Source organism: Homo sapiens, chromosome 10 (assembly GCF_000001405.40).
Source record: "Homo sapiens chromosome 10, GRCh38.p14 Primary Assembly".
Lineage (NCBI taxonomy): Eukaryota > Metazoa > Chordata > Mammalia > Primates > Hominidae > Homo > Homo sapiens.
The window spans coordinates 29510235-29526882 of NC_000010.11; the positions used below are offsets into that span (position 1 = coordinate 29510235).

General features: G+C 43.8%; 1 protein-coding gene and 1 long non-coding RNA gene across 5 annotated transcripts in view, besides 1 other annotated feature; one reads left to right on the forward strand and one right to left on the reverse strand.

Moving 5' to 3' along the window:
- The window catches only part of SVIL (supervillin), a 279599-nt gene that overhangs the window by 52897 nt on the left and 210054 nt on the right, over positions 1-16648 (reverse strand). For all 4 annotated transcript variants that reach the window (NM_001323599.2, NM_021738.3, NM_001323600.1 and 1 more), the window contains 4 exons: positions 14238-14481; positions 13217-13793; positions 12176-12401; positions 2501-2627 (listed from right to left, as the gene is read on the reverse strand). In NM_001323599.2, the coding sequence (NP_001310528.1) occupies positions 2501-2627; positions 12176-12401; positions 13217-13793; positions 14238-14481 (1174 nt within the window). The remainder of the gene's footprint in view (positions 1-2500; positions 2628-12175; positions 12402-13216; positions 13794-14237; positions 14482-16648) is intronic.
- On the forward strand, positions 2615-7045 carry LOC124902401 (uncharacterized). The gene is made up of 2 exons (XR_007062099.1): positions 2615-2698; positions 4747-7045. It is a non-coding gene; the product is annotated as an uncharacterized LOC124902401 (long non-coding RNA).
- Positions 5983-6483: an enhancer, noted in NCBI's record as "H3K4me1 hESC enhancer chr10:29805146-29805646 (GRCh37/hg19 assembly coordinates)". NCBI's record gives its function as "activates a minimal SCP1, AML or CMV promoter by ChIP-STARR-seq in naive H9 embryonic stem cells {active_cell/tissue: H9 hESC(naive)}" and the evidence as "EXISTENCE:reporter gene assay evidence [ECO:0000049][PMID:30033119]".

Consider the following 16648-nt stretch of genomic DNA (forward strand, 5'->3'; position numbering starts at 1 on the left):
GGCTGGAGCCCCTCAAATATGTTTTCTTTTGAGACCAATCCATTGACAGAAACAAAACAGTTACAGATTTTTCAAGACATCCTTTATCGTACTTTTTTAATGTGACTCCAAGGAAATTTCAAAATGACCTGTGTGGCACACATTCTATTTTTACAGGATGGTGCTGACTTCTATGTTGCACGTGTTTTCACAGGAGCAATGGAAGGAACTTCTAGAGTCCCCTCTCTTTCCTGCCTCTTCTACATTTCCACAGACTGCACACTCACGGCAGCAGCCTCTCAGCACACAAAAGGAACGTAGGAACCGTGAAGGGCGTGATGAGCTGACCATAACGCCGGCTCCTTTCTGCCTTTGGTGCTAAAGATGGAAGGTTCCGGCACCTGCTCTCCTGGGTACCTCTCCGTCAGCAAGGCTAGAGCTACTCCGTGCAGCAAGCGCCCCTGTTCAGGCCCCACGTGTCATGACTGTCTGTCCTTCTCCAAGGCAGCATTCAGACACCCCGCAAGCAGTGGGCATGTCAAGCCTCCTCAGCTACTGGGGGAATCCCTCAAGACAGACCAGGTTTAAGGCGCCTCACCCACCACATCTGAGCACAGCCGGCGGGTGACTGAAAACAGTGCCAGCCCTCGGGAAGGAACGAACCGAGGGGTCGTCAGAGGCTGTCTGAGAAACACCTGACCTCAACAGAACCTGAGATTGCCCAGTGTGGGCTACAAAGGCCTAAAATAGATCCGCTTATTTTAGCTTCAAAGAGCTTATTGTCTCCAGCCAAAGGGAAGCAGGCCACTGAGAAGAGTGGGAGAGTTCACCGTCTGCAGAAACAGCAGCCTCCACGCGCCCAGAGGCAGCATTTCCCATTCCAGCCCTAGCCTGCTTGCAAGTCCCGGGGCTTCAGGTCACTGGATTATCAACCCCAAGGGCAACTGCAGTCAACTGGCCTCTCTTGCCTTCTAAAAACCTTAGCCAGCGTTCAGGTGGTTCGGATCTCATCCTCCACTCAAAGCCTTCTGGCTTCCACACCTAAGGTGATCCTCCATTCTTCTAAGGGGGCAGTGCACCCATTTCACTATTCACCAGGAACCTCTTTTGCTTCGTGCTTTTTGGCTTCATTTAAATTTCCACTGGCTCTCTGGGACTCCCAGTTCCTGATGGGCCGGGGAGTCTCTGCACCTTCCAAAATGATGGACAAGGGGCCAGGCGCTGCTTGGTGCCAGGACATAGTAGTTGGCAGGTTTGCTAATGAGGAATGTGTTAAAGTCATTTTTGAAGCAATGATTTCAAGATTCTTTTAAATAAAGTTTGCGGGTAGCAGGGATACATAATTTGACAGATGGATTTTCACTTCAGGATCACATTTTTGAAATCTGAATTTCACACGGTGTGTGAAAAATATGCACATGCATATACTTTCTAAATATCTAGTTATATTTGAGAATTTTACAAATGGCCAAGGCTTAAATGTCTTTAGTTAAATCATCTTTAACACCATGTATGTCTCAAAGAAGAGAATTCAAATTGCCATTCCAGTGAAACCTAAGAAGACACAGAAGTATCAGAGGAAATAGTGTCAGAACTCCTGACTCACACTTCTATGTGCACATCTCATTTTTATGTACGTTTCTTAATGCATGAAAGTCACACTCATCATCTCTCCCTTCCACAGATGCTTAACTTATTTTAGAGCTAGAAGGGGCCTGGGGATCATCGGGTTGAAAGCATTCTTTTTCTTTTCTACTTGAAGACTTCTGATCCTAGAAAGTGACCAGGGAGTGTGTCACCGGTGCATCATTTCGCCTCCAGCCAGAAGGTGCATTTGCAATTGTAGGGCCAGCCAGCAAGTAAGTCACCATCAGTTTCAAAAGTGTGCACTACCTGGTCAAAAGCTGGTCATCATCACATCTGTGATTTAACAATTCATCAATACTTTCGCATATGAAATGCTTGCTAGTATTGATCACCATGCATTACCTAATTTTGTTTCAACTTATACATTACTGTACATTCTCAATAAAAGGCATAGCTACTCATGAAACACGCTTAAATGATGAACTAAATACTCATAAACCACAATTATGTCCTTATTTTTTATACTTAGGTTTAAAATCTCTGCATGGGAAACACAAGTCTGTATTTTACATGGAACTTAAAGATATTAGTGGTGAATTCAATTTTTTTCATTATAAAGGCTTTAATAACACATGAAAGCCAGACTTCATTTAAGAAGGTTTTTAAACTGAAGAAAAAGTCCACACTTTAAAATTCAGGCACTTGCTTGCTGACATAGTGTGTGTGTGTTGCTGATCCCAGTTTTAAAACATCTCCAGGCACAGCCTTCTGCCCAATTTTAGCTGCTCTGTGACAGACTCTCAGTGTGTACCCTAAGGGCAAAAATGCACAAATGCTTCACAGAGTAGGAATTAGGTGGCACACGCTTGTCTTTTTGATGCACTTCCAAGAGTGATGTTAGTCGGAAGGCTTTTCCTAACATGGGGAATGTTACCTTCTTGATGAGGGACCGCCCTGCTTCCTGGGTGTGCAGGCTGCTGGCCGGCGCCTTGCCGCCCTCCTGCCTCCTGCTGAGTCTGTTTCTCCAATCTTCCTCCCCGCTTTTCTTCAACAGTGCCAATCTAGGAGGAAAACATGCCCGCCACAAAGAGTTCAGCACCAAACTCTTCCTTGTGATGGAACCATAATCTAGGTAAGAGAGGCGGCTTGGGCCAAGATATGACCACAGCCGCCTCGTTTTAACATTTTGAATTTCATTTATTCGGAAGACAGCATGTCTGGAAAAATAATAAAGTCCCTTTTCTAAGATGGCCCGAAGATTTTACAGTTGATTGAAACACAGAGCTGAAATCTGACTTGCTAGATAAAAGATGCACCATCATTCCAGCCAAGGATGTCTGTTCCTTGGCCTTGGGCTGAAAGCAAGAGAACCGTCCCCAGAGAAAAATGTCTTTTAGCGACGCCTTCTGGTCACTTGTGAAATAACATTAAAGGACTAAAGCTGTGTTACAGAAAATGATGCAGACATGGGCTTAAAAACATAAAGCTGGCCAGGCACGGTGGCTTCCGCCTGTAATCCTAGCACTTTGGGAAGCTGAGGCAGGTGGATCACGAGGTCAGGAGTTCGAGACCAGCCTGGCCAATACGGTGAAACCCCATCTCTACTAAAAATACAAAAATTAGCCAGCGGGAGGCTGAGGCACAAGAATCGCTTGAACCTGGGAGGCAGAGGTTGCAGTGAGCCGAGATTGTGCCACTGCACTCCAGCCTGGGTGACACAGTGAGACTCTGTCTCAAAAAACAAACAAACAAACAAAAACATAAAGCCATGAAGCACTTACAGTCTCTTAATATCATCCCTTTCAATTAGAGGTAAAATTTGATGTTTATGACTGTTTCTCCTCAGGTGTTCTAAGCCCTATTCTTTTCCTACAAATGAATTTGATCATTCTTATCCATCTTCTTTAGACAGAAACTATTTTCTATAAACCCATTTTTTAAAATTATCACTTCAACTTTCCTCAGGGGAAGGATATACACAAAAAAAGAATCTAATTAACTGATATTGTTAACTAACCTACTTTAGCTCAATGATGATGTGACTTGATAGGCAGTGCTTGAATACTGGAATCCTGAAAGGTTATTTTTCACAAACTTGAGGCTATTTCAGCTAACTGTATTGCATGAATGAAGAAATCTTAGGTATTTACGCTGGACAAACAAACATGGGAAAGATAAAAGGTAAAAAAAAAAAAAAAAGGTGGTGATCACTAAACTCATTTGAGCCGATGCTCAAACAATTTAAAGAGTAGGGAAAAGCCAAATAATTAGATCCTTTTCCCTCTGTGCTGGACCTGATGGGCCAGGTCTTATTGATATCACTAATGCATAATCCACAAATGGTATAAATATTTTTATCCATAAATATTAAATCCATAAATATTAAATCCATAAATATTTTTATCCATAAATATTAAATCCATAAATATTTTTTATTGTTATAAATTTGTTTTAGAGACAAGGTCTTCCTTTGTCACCAGGTCTGGAGTGCAGCGGCACAATCACGGTTCACTGCAGCCTCGAATTCCTGGGCTCAAGCGACAATCCTGCCTCGGCCTCCAGAGTAGCTAGGATGACAGGTGTGCATCACTGCGCCTGGTTAATTTTTAAAATTTTTATTTTGTAGAGACGAGGTCTTGCTATGCTGCTCAGGCTGGTTTTGAACTCCCGGGCTCAAGCAATTCTTCCATGTCAGCCTCCAGAGTAGCTAGGACTACACTTGTGCACCACTACACTAGGCTAATTTTTAAAATTTTTATTTGGTAGAGACAGGTGCTTGCTATGTTGCCCAGGGCAGTTTTGAACTCCTGGCCTCAAGCGATCCCCTGCCTCAGCCTCCCAAAGTGCTGGGATTACAGGCATGAGACAGCGCGCCTAGACAACAGTGTATTTTTAAGCAGAACATCAGCTTTGGTCCCAATTTGGCTACTCCCTTTGGGTATCTCGGTTCTCCCTCCTATATCTGTCACATCAGGAACTGGTCAGATGATCTCTAAGGGTCCTTCTTCCAAGCTTCCCGATTCCCATTAAATATTTGTTTTGGAGATGGGATGAGATATATTCTATGATAAAAGTTTTGTTATGCTAATAAGAAAACAAATTTTGTAGTACTTAAACAAGAATCCGGCGACATCTACGTATGTGTACATAATCACACCTTGTATTTGTCTATTCACTCAGTCAAATAACGGGAAGTAAGCCGTGAAGAAAGGAATCCCCCAAAGGAGGCAGGAGCTTCGAACTCTGGACCTGTCCCCTTCCTCAATCTCTTCCTTCTCCCCCCTTCATTTCTGTTTTCCTCTTTCTGCTAAGTGGCAGCAGATAAGATCTCAAGTGCTCAATCTCTAGAACTGGGGTAAGGCTGCCTTGTCAATCTCATGCAGATCCCTTTGGGTCAAGGTCTCATTTAGTCCTAACTCCTGTAATTCTCGAATGTTTAACAACACCCTGCATGCTACAAGAGCTAGTTCATGGGCTTGGACACGAAGTCGAAATTCCTTCAAGAGCTCTAATCCGCACCATTTCATACTATATAATGACTATGATTCATCTTTTCTCCAATTATTTTGAATGAGTCAGTTTTATCCTAATAAAATAATCTCACAAAATGAAATCATTAAAAGAAATTCATATTTGCATGCTGTATTTGAGCTTTCAAAGCATCAATAAATGAGACTTTCAAAAAGTAAGCATGCCAGCACTTTAATACCCAAATGAGAAGTCCTTCCAGTTCATGATCTTGTGGAACCAAGCACTCATCTCACTGATATTCTCCCTGTAAACTGGCCTCAGAACCAGCTTCTCTCACTTCACCTTCCACCCAGGCTGGCAGCTACTCCTCCTGAACATCCACCTTGTTAATCAGATTGGATTCAAATGATGAATTTTTAAAAGATCAAATTCATCTTCCTGAGTTGAGTTCATTAAAAGTCATGAGCTCTGGTCTTTGAAGACCTTCTCAAAAAGAAGCTCCCAAAAGTCTGGGGCAAGGACACCAGCACCTATGTCATCGGACGATTTCCCTGGTGGTTGCTTTGTGGCATCTAAAACTGACTTAGAAAAACACAAGCTGTGGCATCTGAGATCACCTCCTCGTCCATCTTATACTCTGCTGATCTGCACGGCGACCCCTAAGACACTGGGAATTGTTATTCCCATTCTGACGGACAAGGAACGTGGGTACATCCGGGTCAAGAATTCCATTGACTGAGGTCACACTGGATGTTAGTGGGCAGAGAGACGTGACTGCAGCCCTCGCCTGCCTGTGTGTAGCTTGTTTCACTTCGGTAGAACATTAGCTGACCGGACACATTTTTGCCACACCGTTTTAGGAAAGGCATAGGATTCTGGCTTTCTTATAAGGTTTTTCCCACCATGGGATGGCCTCCAAAGAATTCCTCCATTCCAAAACCCTGAAATTTTGCTTCTACATGTGCTGGCAGGGTTACCATTGGGGACTTCCGAAGACTACAGAGTAACCAGAATAATCTGGAAGAAACTGTGCTTCCGTGGAGCCCACCTGGCACTTGGAGCCAGCCCTCGGCTCCAGCCTACGGAGCACATGACGAATAACTTGAAAATAACACGCACTAAAACTTGAGTGTGTTCTTCCTGTCCCTTTAGATTTCCTCATTGGTGTCCACCACGCTGAGGAGGGAGGGAGATCTTCCCAAATGTGTCCCTTCCTCCTGTGAGCTCACAGCCCTCCGGCTCACCGCAGACCACCAGGCTCTGAGAGGGTCGAGGAGCCGACGTCTGGGCCTACGCAGGACATAAATTCCTGCCGGTGCAATTCAAACAACTGTCAGCGCTTCTAACAACTGCCAAGCCAAAGTGCTGTTTGCAGGACTGTGATGCTGGGAGCCTGGGCAGTGGCTAGGCCTGGGCTGTGTGAACCCAGAGAGAGGCACGACACTGGCCCGCTCACCCAACGCCTGGCCCAGGGCCACCGTGACAGGTGCCTGCCAGGACACCCGGGGAAACGGTGCCTCCTCTTCCATAGCCCACACTGTTCCAGCAGGGAATGCTGGCCTGAGAACCCTGCTTGTTGAGAACAAGGACATCAGGCTCAGAGCAGTCAGGGCTGGGTCAAACAGGAGACATGACAACCATGTGCCCCTAATATTAAATAAGATGTGTTTTCTCTCTCTTTTTCAGAATTTTCCCTTCATTTTAGAGAATTACAGGCACCCCATAGATCTCTGATAGGGATGAACAGCACACTTAAGTACTTATATTAGATCTTGGTTTTGGCTGGTTCACAAGTTGGAGAAGTGAATGAACTAAAGTGTCTTTTAAATGAGAGACAAATCACACTTTGGAAAAGGAGGGCCAGGCGTGGTGGCTCACACCTGTAATCCCAGCACTTTGGAAGGCTGAGGTGGGAGGATCGCTTGAGGCCAGGAGGTGGGAGACCAGCCTGGGCCGCAGAGCAAGACCCCGTCTCTACAAAAAAATAAAAATAAAAAATAAAAAGCCAGCTGAGCATGGTGGTGTGTGCCTGTAGTCCCAGCTACTTGGGAGGCTGAAGTGGGAGGATCATTTGAGTCCCAGGAGGTGGAGGCTGCAGTGAGCTATGATCGCACCACTGCACTCCAGCCTGGACAACAGTGCCAAGACCCTGTCTAGAAAAATAAAAGAAAAAAAGAAAAAGAAAAAGAAAAGGAGGGAGTAAAGGGGAACTGCCGCTCTATTCTTATTCCTACATAAATCTGGGGCCCTCTAGTGGCTGAAATCTCCCAGCTACAGGGTAAGAACCTGGAGTTTGTGGAGACAGGGAGACAGCCTCTGGCTGGGTGGGATACCGAAGGGTGGATGGTTGGGGCGGGGGCCGGCAGGCGGGAAACACAGGAGCCTCCAGCCGGTCCCTCTAGGGCAGAACACCATAGAGGCGTGAGGTGGATTCTGCAACAGTTCAGGGAGTTCCACTAAGTCCTTACATGCCACCAATTTGCCAAAGTGAAAGGATGGCTCTTTTTTTCTTTTCAATAGTCTTTTTCCCTAAATAAGAAAGCTCAGATGCCACTGTTTCTGACATTGTGGAAATAAGATTTCTAAAGGCCTAACATACTCTTTAAGCAATAGCAAAGGTTTTATCCCTAAATAACATAAGAATTATTTAATTCGCAATGTTTCTCAAAGAAGTTCCCAAACAGGGATAATTTAAACACACATCATTTGGACAGTCAGAAAATAGCAATTTTACTAATCCGGTGGGAAAAGTCGATTGCATCCTAAGTTTTTTGCTGGTTATGGTTCAAATTTGACATTCACAATGTCAGAAAAGATGAAAAAAAATTTTTTTAAGGCTGGGTGTGGTGATCACGTCTGCAATCCCAGCACGTTGGGAGGCCTAGACGGGTGGATCACTGGAGGTCAGGAGTTTGACACCAGCCTGGCCAATATGGTGAAACCTTGTCTCTACTAAAAATACAAAAATTAGCCAGGCATGGTAGTAAGTGCTTGTAATTCCAGCTACTTGGGAGGCTGAGGCAGGAGAATCGCTTGAACCCAGGAGGGGGAGGCTTCAGTGAGCCAAGATCGTGTCACTGCACTCCAGCGTGGGCTACAGAGTGAGACTCTTGTCTCAGAAAATAAACAAATAAATAAATAAATATAAAAATAACTTTTTAATATGTTTCCTTGAGCATCAAACATATTCTAAAAAAGGAGTGTATGGAGGTTTTCCTATAATTTCTTAGTTTCTATGCTTTTTGTCTACAAATGGGGATAATATTGCTTTCTTCTGGAGGCTGTCTTCAATATTAAATGAAAGCCGGGCGCAGTGGCTCACGCCTGTAATCCCAACACTTTGGGAGGCTGAGGCAGGCAGATCACCTGAGGTCAGGCATTCGACACCAGCGTAGCCAACATGGTGAAGCCCCGCCTCTACTAAAAATGCAAAAATTAGCTGGTTATGGTGGTGGGCTCCTGTGATCCCAGCTACTCAGGAGGGTGAGGCAGGAGAATCACTTGAACCTGGGAGGCGGAGGTTGTAGTGAGCCGCGATCGTGCCTCTGCACTCCAGCCTGGGTGACAGAGCGAGACTCCATCTCAAAAAACAAACAAACAGACAAAAATTAAATGAGAGATCATGTACAAAATGTGGAAGGCAGTCTGTGACGCTGGGTAGCACTGAGCACTGAGAACTTAATATAGTCAGGCCCTGGACAGGGGAGAGACTGACACAACAAGGCTGAAGAAGACAGACCTGCCCTCCTTAGTGGGGACAGGCATTTATAAAAAACGATGAAGGAAATCTGCAAATTCCAGACTCTATTTCTGAGACTCTGAAATGTGAACTTGGATGTGTAATTTGAAATATAAGCCCTGTTAAGAGCATGTGAACTGAGAAAATTCATGAAGAAAGAAGGTGTGTCTTTCTAACACTGCTGTCTAGCTGGGATTTCTGTCCTCTCACCGTATTCTCCTGGTTAGAGCACACGGGGTTGGCTGCTCTAACACTAATCTGAGCGCACCGCGGTCTCACCATGGACCAGGGGAGAGTTGGAGACGTGGCCCCTGGGTCAGCTCTATTCACTACGTGGCCCTGGAGGCTACCGGAGCCGAATCCCTCCTTTGGTAAAATGAGGCAGTCAGAGGCGGTTAGAATAAAGTTTGGAAGTCCTATGATTTTATATATTTCTTTCTCAAGAAGGAAAAGTAAAGCCCAAATAAATGGAGGAATAACATTCTTATTTTAAATAGTTTAAGCTTCATTATTTCATTTTCACAAAAGGGAGGGATTAAAGTCTCATGGAAAAGCTATCATGGATGAATTGTAAATATATGTAATTTAGTCACTTTCAGCAAAGTACAAATAAAAGTACTGTGAAGGTAAGGGGGAAAAGATCACTGGCAATATATTTTGCATTAGTGTAATTTATTACAAGCATAGCTGCTAAATAAAGTGTCCCTTGTTCTTTCATAAATGTATTTTAACAAACTGAATAGCTGAATATCAATCAAGCATTCCTTTCTATCATGATTCTGAACAGACTGGGCTCAGGGATCTCTTGGAGACCATGATAAGTTATGGCTTCTGTTAGCCAGCAGGTGTGTGTGCTCACCCATTCAATTCTGAATACACTTCCGGGCTGTTCACAGAAACTTTACAGCCATCCTTGAACGCCTTACATGTCCACAAAGCCCAAGCTAAGAAGCTACGTCTTTCCAGTATCTCACTTTTAAAAATGAGAATTTTACAGTAGGATTAAAGCTTTCAGAAAAATACAGGTCAACTAAAATTTACCAAAAAACAGGTAAGTAAATCAGGAATTATTGCTTAGTGGATAGACACAGGACTTCTTCATCAAAAGTCCTAAGTCCAGATGGACAGAATATTCCCAAAGATGGGAAGGCTCCTTTAAAAGCCTTTGAAAGAAGGGGGCATAATATTAGTATTTCCCACTGGGGAATACCCCAGGGATATTTTCTCATGTGTAAAACATCAGAACTTGTGTATAAGTGATATTTATTGTTAATTTCCTTAAATGATCTCTCTTCTTCCTCACCTAACCAGTTGTCAATATTTGGGTTTCTGGGATGAAACTCTCTTTGAGCCCCATTTTCGTGGAAGAGAACTTCAAGCCTCAATAGGCCCAACTGCTTCCCCGATTGAAGACATCCCTCTCCTCATTGCACTGTCCCCTCTGCCCCTTCCCTATGCCCCTCAGCCTGCCAGGTCTAACTTATCATGAATTTTAAGTAAGTAAAGGAGAAAGTAAGTCAGATTTAACAATGTGATTAATTTGTCAGTTGAAAAAGATAGCATCTATTATTTTACAAATAATGTTCAAGAAGCTTGGCTTAAAACTAGAAAGAAGGGCCAGGTGTGGTGGTGCATGTCTGTAATCCCCGCACTTTGGAAGGCTGAGGTGGGAGGACTGTTTGAGGCCAGGAGTTCGAGACCAGCCTGGGCAACATGGTGAGACCTCCCAACTCTACAAAAAATCTTTTTGAAAAAATTAGCCAGGCATGGTGGTACGTGTCTGCAGTCCCAGCTACTGGGGAGGCCGAGGCAGGAGGATCACTTGTGTCCAGGAGTTCGAGGCTGCAGTGAAGCTGTGACAGCACCATTGCACTCTAGTCTGGGCAACAGAGGAAGACCATTCCTCTAAAAAAAAAAAAAAAGAAAGAAGGGGCCAGGCACGGTGGCTCACGCCTGTAATCCCAGCACTTTGGGAGGCCGAGGCAGGCGGATCAGGAGGTCAGGAGATCGAGATCATCCTAGCTAACACGGTGAAGCCCCAACTCTACTAAAAATACAAAAAATTAGCTGGGTGTGGTGGTGTGCGTCTGTAGTCCCAGCCACTTGGGAGGCTGAGGCAGGAGAATCGCTTGAACCCGGGAGGCAGAGGTTGCAGTAAGCCAAGATCATCCCATTGCACTCCAGCCTGGGTGACAAAGCAAGACTTAGTCTCAAAAAGAAAAAAAAAAAAAAAAGGAAAGAAGGAAAAGAAAGAAAGAAGACTTTTCATTGTGGTTTAGTATAGTCTTAGGCAGTTTGAAATGTATCTAGAAAAATAAGAGTGGTCAGTGAAGCCTGCAGACTTCCGTGTGGTGGGAGGTGCTGAGGAAGGGTGGAGGTTGGCAGAACTGTGGGAACAGGCGATGGAAATGGTTCTCCTAATATGGAGTTGACAAGATTTTTCTTCACCCAGTTTTCCTATCAACTATTCCATCATGTTTTTTTCCTACTGAATACTTTCTCCTTTTTTTGTACAAATTTATGTGGTGCATGAGAAATTTTGTTACACATATAAAATGCATAGTGATCAAGCCTCTATTTAGAATGTCCATCACCTCAGTACAATACGTTTTTATTTAGTCACCCTACTCTGCTATCAAACTCTGAATTTATTCCCACTATTGCATCTTTTGCTGCTTAATTCATCTGTGGTTAAGGGTTAACAAGGAAAACACATCCCCAAGGTAATTTACTTCCAGTTCTCTGTATCTGTCTAATTTAAATATATTCCTCTGCACCCTACGTCATTCTTTTGAAAGAAATTAGGCTACTGTGTTATTTGATGCTGAAATGCAATCTTTCAAGCTATTACCTGACATACAATTTCTAAATGCAGTTCAGAAAAGTCATCCATTTTACAATCTGTAAAAGAAACAAAACTTGGATTCTAAGTCCAAAGATATATGCCCTCTATGTAAATTTATCTTCACTCCCTCTACACATATTTTACACAAAGTCACAAGTGGTTTGTGCATTCAGTATGAACCCTGTGTATCTAAAAGGGGAAGAGCCAAGATTTCAGCTCCTGTCATTAGATAGTCCAAGAATTTAATATTATAAAAGATATTGGGACAGTGGAAACAAATAAATAAAACAGAAGTCTGTTTCTGTTTGTTTTCTCATCTGAGTCTGGAACCAGCCCTGTCCAAACCAGGCTCATTACCAAACCAGGCTCATGAGCAAAGGCAGTTCACTCTCAAACACCTCAGCTTCCTAGAATTACTCCAGGACAACAGCACAGTCCTGTTAGAAGCTGAATGTATGATTTCATCTCTTTGCCCATCACCGAGATTGTTTTCTAAAAGCAAGCTGTAAGCTCCTCCCCGAGAGAATTACTTTTCGCTCACCGAATCTCATTACCTTTCTTTAATAGACATGGTTTTGCTGGGTGAGTCAAGAAGGCCCTCCCCTGTCGGCGTTTTGATCTCTCCAGCAGCAAACATCGCACATGGATTCTTGCAGAGCTTCTCCTGTGGCTGTTCCGAAGAATCCTGGGGCTTCCAGGACACGGGGGCTGTGGTTTGAGCAATAGTTTTCCCAGCAGCTGTCCCCGTCTGCTCGGAAGTGGGCTCCCCGAACTCTGCCGCTGGGAAGGAAAAGAGCAACATCAGCACTGAACTCCTCAGGCAAACATTCTTCCAGCGATTCGCCCTCAACAGTGCAGCTCTCAGGGTTCAATCCGTGGGCACACGGCGGGTGACCCAATCCACTGGGATTTATGCAAATCTGCAGCACGCTACACTCTGTGAGAAAACCAAACTTCCTGGAGGGTTACCCACACAGCAAAATGCTTCGTGGCAATTGGTTTCTCTCCTGTGTGCGAGACACAGGAAGTCAGCTTTAACTATTTACTCCAGAATGGTTCTATTCTCCAAAATAATACCTTAACATTCAAATGTGCTATACTCACAAACGCAAACCCCTATTATAACTTACACTGTACTGTTTCATACAAACGTAGAAAGAGGATGAAGGGCCCACGCAGTGTAGCTTGCTAGCCTGCAAAACAGGCATGCAGGAAGAAGCACTCTAGCGATTCAGAGACTGGGGTCAAGTCTTTCCTGAATTCCTTGTGCTTACCCAGCCTGGACCTTTGGGGTCATCAATTTCTAAAAGGGGCCACCAGAACTAAGCAGCTCAGAAGGCCATTGTGTGAGTGACCAAAGTCAACAGAAACTCCATGAAGATGTGTGAAAGCTCTTCCAGTAGTTTTATTGCTGAAAACTTGATGTATCCTCTAGTCAGATCCAGGGAAGAATAGGATTCCCGCTGAACTTTTAACCAATACTAGCTGTAAACTGCCTATAGAACTTTGTTAAAAGCCATCATAGACACAGGACAAATCAAGCAGAAACTAAAACCCAGTGGCTTTCTAAAGCTTTAGGGGCACTGGTCACTTACCTCTTAGTGAAAACTTCCTTTTCATAACATTCTCCACCTCCACCTTCTCTTCAAAGGGCAGCCTGTCCCTCAAGTCCAAGTTTCCTTGTGCATTCATTTTAGCCATGGAAAATTCCTTCGGTTCATCCCCGAGGTGGGTGATGGGAGGGTTCGCCCGTTCCAGGCTTCCTCTTCTGGGAACAGCATATTTAGATTCCTTATGGCTGTCTCCTTCCCTGGCTCGGTTCAGGATGGGGTAGGATGCTTCTGCTTCCTCAAAGGACCCATACTTCTCCATCCCACTGTCTCGACCTGTCAAAGCTCTCTTGCTTTCTGTCTCTCCATATTCTCTCAACATTCCCTTGTTCTCGCTACCCTCTACCAAAGGCTGCCAAGCTTGCGATTTCAGAATGCTTCTAACTGGAGAGTCCGAATTTTCTATTGAAGAAGAAAACTTATAGTCAGTGGCACTTGCATTGTGGTCAAGAGGTGGCTTTGTGCGAAGATCTCCGGCATACATTGGAGCAACCGTGGATGCTACGGTAGACACTGATGTGTTCACGGCAGGTGAGAAAGGAATGAGCTTTCCACTCTGCACCTGGAAGGACACAGTTAAAAATTAAAAAGCTGCTTGAAAAATATCATCTATATAAATCCTGGTTTATGAATTGACAGAAGCTGAAATACTCGATTTGATGCAGTTTCACTGTTTCTCTTAGTGGAAAACCATTCCTGGACATAGTTATATAATACGTCTCATTAAACAAAATCCTCTGGGTGAAACACAGTTGGGCATACTATTTTTTTCTCTCCAAAATGGACTCATTCTAGATATTTCAGCAAGCAAGGTATGAAAACAAAAAAAGAGCAACATACTTGGTAGAATTCTCATTTTTAGGAAGAAAGCTATTACCAAATCACCTACAGGTAGCAGTTTCCTGGTAGAGCACCTTAATTACATCATTGACCTCAGAGGAATACTGCAGTGCTATAATTTAAGAACACACACACACAAACTGCAATCGGACTATAGCACACCCACCTGCTCCACCTCTCCCAGTGTGACTGGCTGAGTTTGATAGCGAGCGTTCATTCTCCTCTGTCTCGTGTCTATTCTGTTCCGGGTAGAAATCGCTTTTGAGACTGGCTGGGACAATTTGTTAAACAAGGCCAACTTTTCGGCCAAGCTTAGAGTGGAGGAATCAGGTTCTCCTTGCTCAGCAAGCTCTTTGCCCTCATTTGTCTGGTCCTTGGCTAAGGCCTTTTGGTGAGCAGAGGCCTGCAATCTGAAAAAAATAAAATGTCAGCAACACATATACCAACAAACAAAAGCACACCGCTAAGTTTCTACGTTAACTTTCTGCCAAGTGTCACATCATTTTGCAAAGGGCTTCTTTTTCCCTAAGCACGTCTAGGACAGAGGCAGGCAGCTGTTCAGCTACTCAACAAGCAGAGTCGGCACAGGACACTTAGCATCATCACTTCTACAAAGAGCAGACTTTGAGCTCCGAATTATTTCTACAAAACGAATTTCCTGTTTAAGACATTGAAGTCAGCTTGGCTATACCTTATCTTAGACAGAGAGGCGGCATTGTTAGTATCGTAATAAGTAGAATGAAAGGGAGTCACAAAGTATTACCTACGGTGTATTTAGACCTTATCTAAAGATATGGTTCAGAAGGTGGTCTTTCATTTTAAATAATTAGGAAACGATATAGTCCTCTGTCAACAACATAACAGAAGGTCTTGATTTTTACTTGCTAAAGACAAATGGCTTAATTTTTAAAGAGTCACTGCTTCAGCTTAGCATTTACTCTCATAGGTTCCTACCAGTTTTCTAAAAGGTACTTAAATCTGCAATTTCCAGTAACCAGAGGAGTAAAGAAAATTTCAGGTGATTATAAATCCCTCCAACTGGCCAGGTCTGGTGGCTCATATCTATGGAAGGCCAAGGCAAGAGGATCACTTGAATTTAGGAGTTGGAGACTAGCCTGGGCAACATCGTGAAACCCCATCTCTACAAAAAATATAAAAATTAGCCAGGCTTGGTGGTGTGCACCTGTGATCCCAGCTACTCAGGAGGCTGAGGTGGGAGGATCGCTTGAGCCTGTGAGGTAGAGGCTGCAGTGTGCAGTGATGAAGCCTGGGCGACAGAGCAAGACTCTGTCTCAAAAATAAATGAATGAATACATAAATCAGTAAATAAATAAATAGCTCCCTCCAACTTCCAGCTAGAAGAGAAGGAAAGCCTGAAGTCTTCACGGTCAATATGAATCTCTAGGGGTTTGTAATGCACTATATCTTCTGTCCCTGACCGATCCAATTGTCAGATCTAGTAAAGGAGATATTCTGCCTTGATTCTAGTGAATCCCCAATGCACAGGCTATCCCAGGCCAAAGAGTAGCCAGCTTCCATATTCCAGGTGTATAATGAGGCCAGTGACAAAAAAGCCACCTGAGCCTCAGAGTCCTCCGTGGACCTCGTGCAGTAACCAGGAGGGCAGGGAAACCCACTTCTCCGGGAGGGCCCTGCTGTGGGTGTACCAGCTTTATCCCGGCACTGCCATTATTTTTAGCTTTTGCGGTTTGGCTCATATAACAGTAAAATGAAGGGATATGACCTGATGTGAGGACATAATTTTAAAGCACCACAATCTGAAACACGACAGTAAAACATCTACGTTTAGACACTACAAATTGTTATTTTCCCAGTCCCAAAATATAATGGCATTGACTCTATAAATTAGAAAGAGGGAGGATTGTTTTCAGTCTGTATTTGTGTCTACAGGTGTTTGAAAAAGACTGGGTCTTATCAGCATTTCAACATTCAGGTTAATGTCTCATTTTTCTTTTTTTTTCTTTCTTTTTTTCTCTTTCTTTTTTTTTTTTTTTTTTGAGACAGAGTCTTGCTCTGTCACCAGGCGGGAGTGCAGTGGCACGATCTTGACTCACTGCAACCTCTGCCTCCCAGGTTCAAGCGATTCTCCTGCCTCAGTCTCCCAAGTAGCTAGGATTACTGGCACATGCCACCATGCCCAGCTAATTTTTGTATTTTTAGTAGAGACAGGGTTTCACCATGTTGGCCAGGACGGTCTCAATCTCCTGACCTCGTGATCCACCTGCCTTGGCCTCTCAAAGTGCTGGGATTACAGGCATGAGCCACCGCGCCTGGCCAATGTCCCATTTTTCTATTAATCTTTATTAAGTGCTATAACAGTATTTAGATGAAGAACAAAATTTTTGAGGGATGACCATTATTATGAAAAACAAACAAAGCAACTGGATACGTGAGTTAGTGTGATCCTAGTTCTAACACATAACATATGCAGAGAGACAAAATGTTTTCCCACGCACGCCAGCATGTGGTTATCAGCACCTTGTGCTATGACAAAACAAAATGCCACGCATTCTGGAACAACTCACGGCATTGACTTGTTTGTCAAACAAACGACAG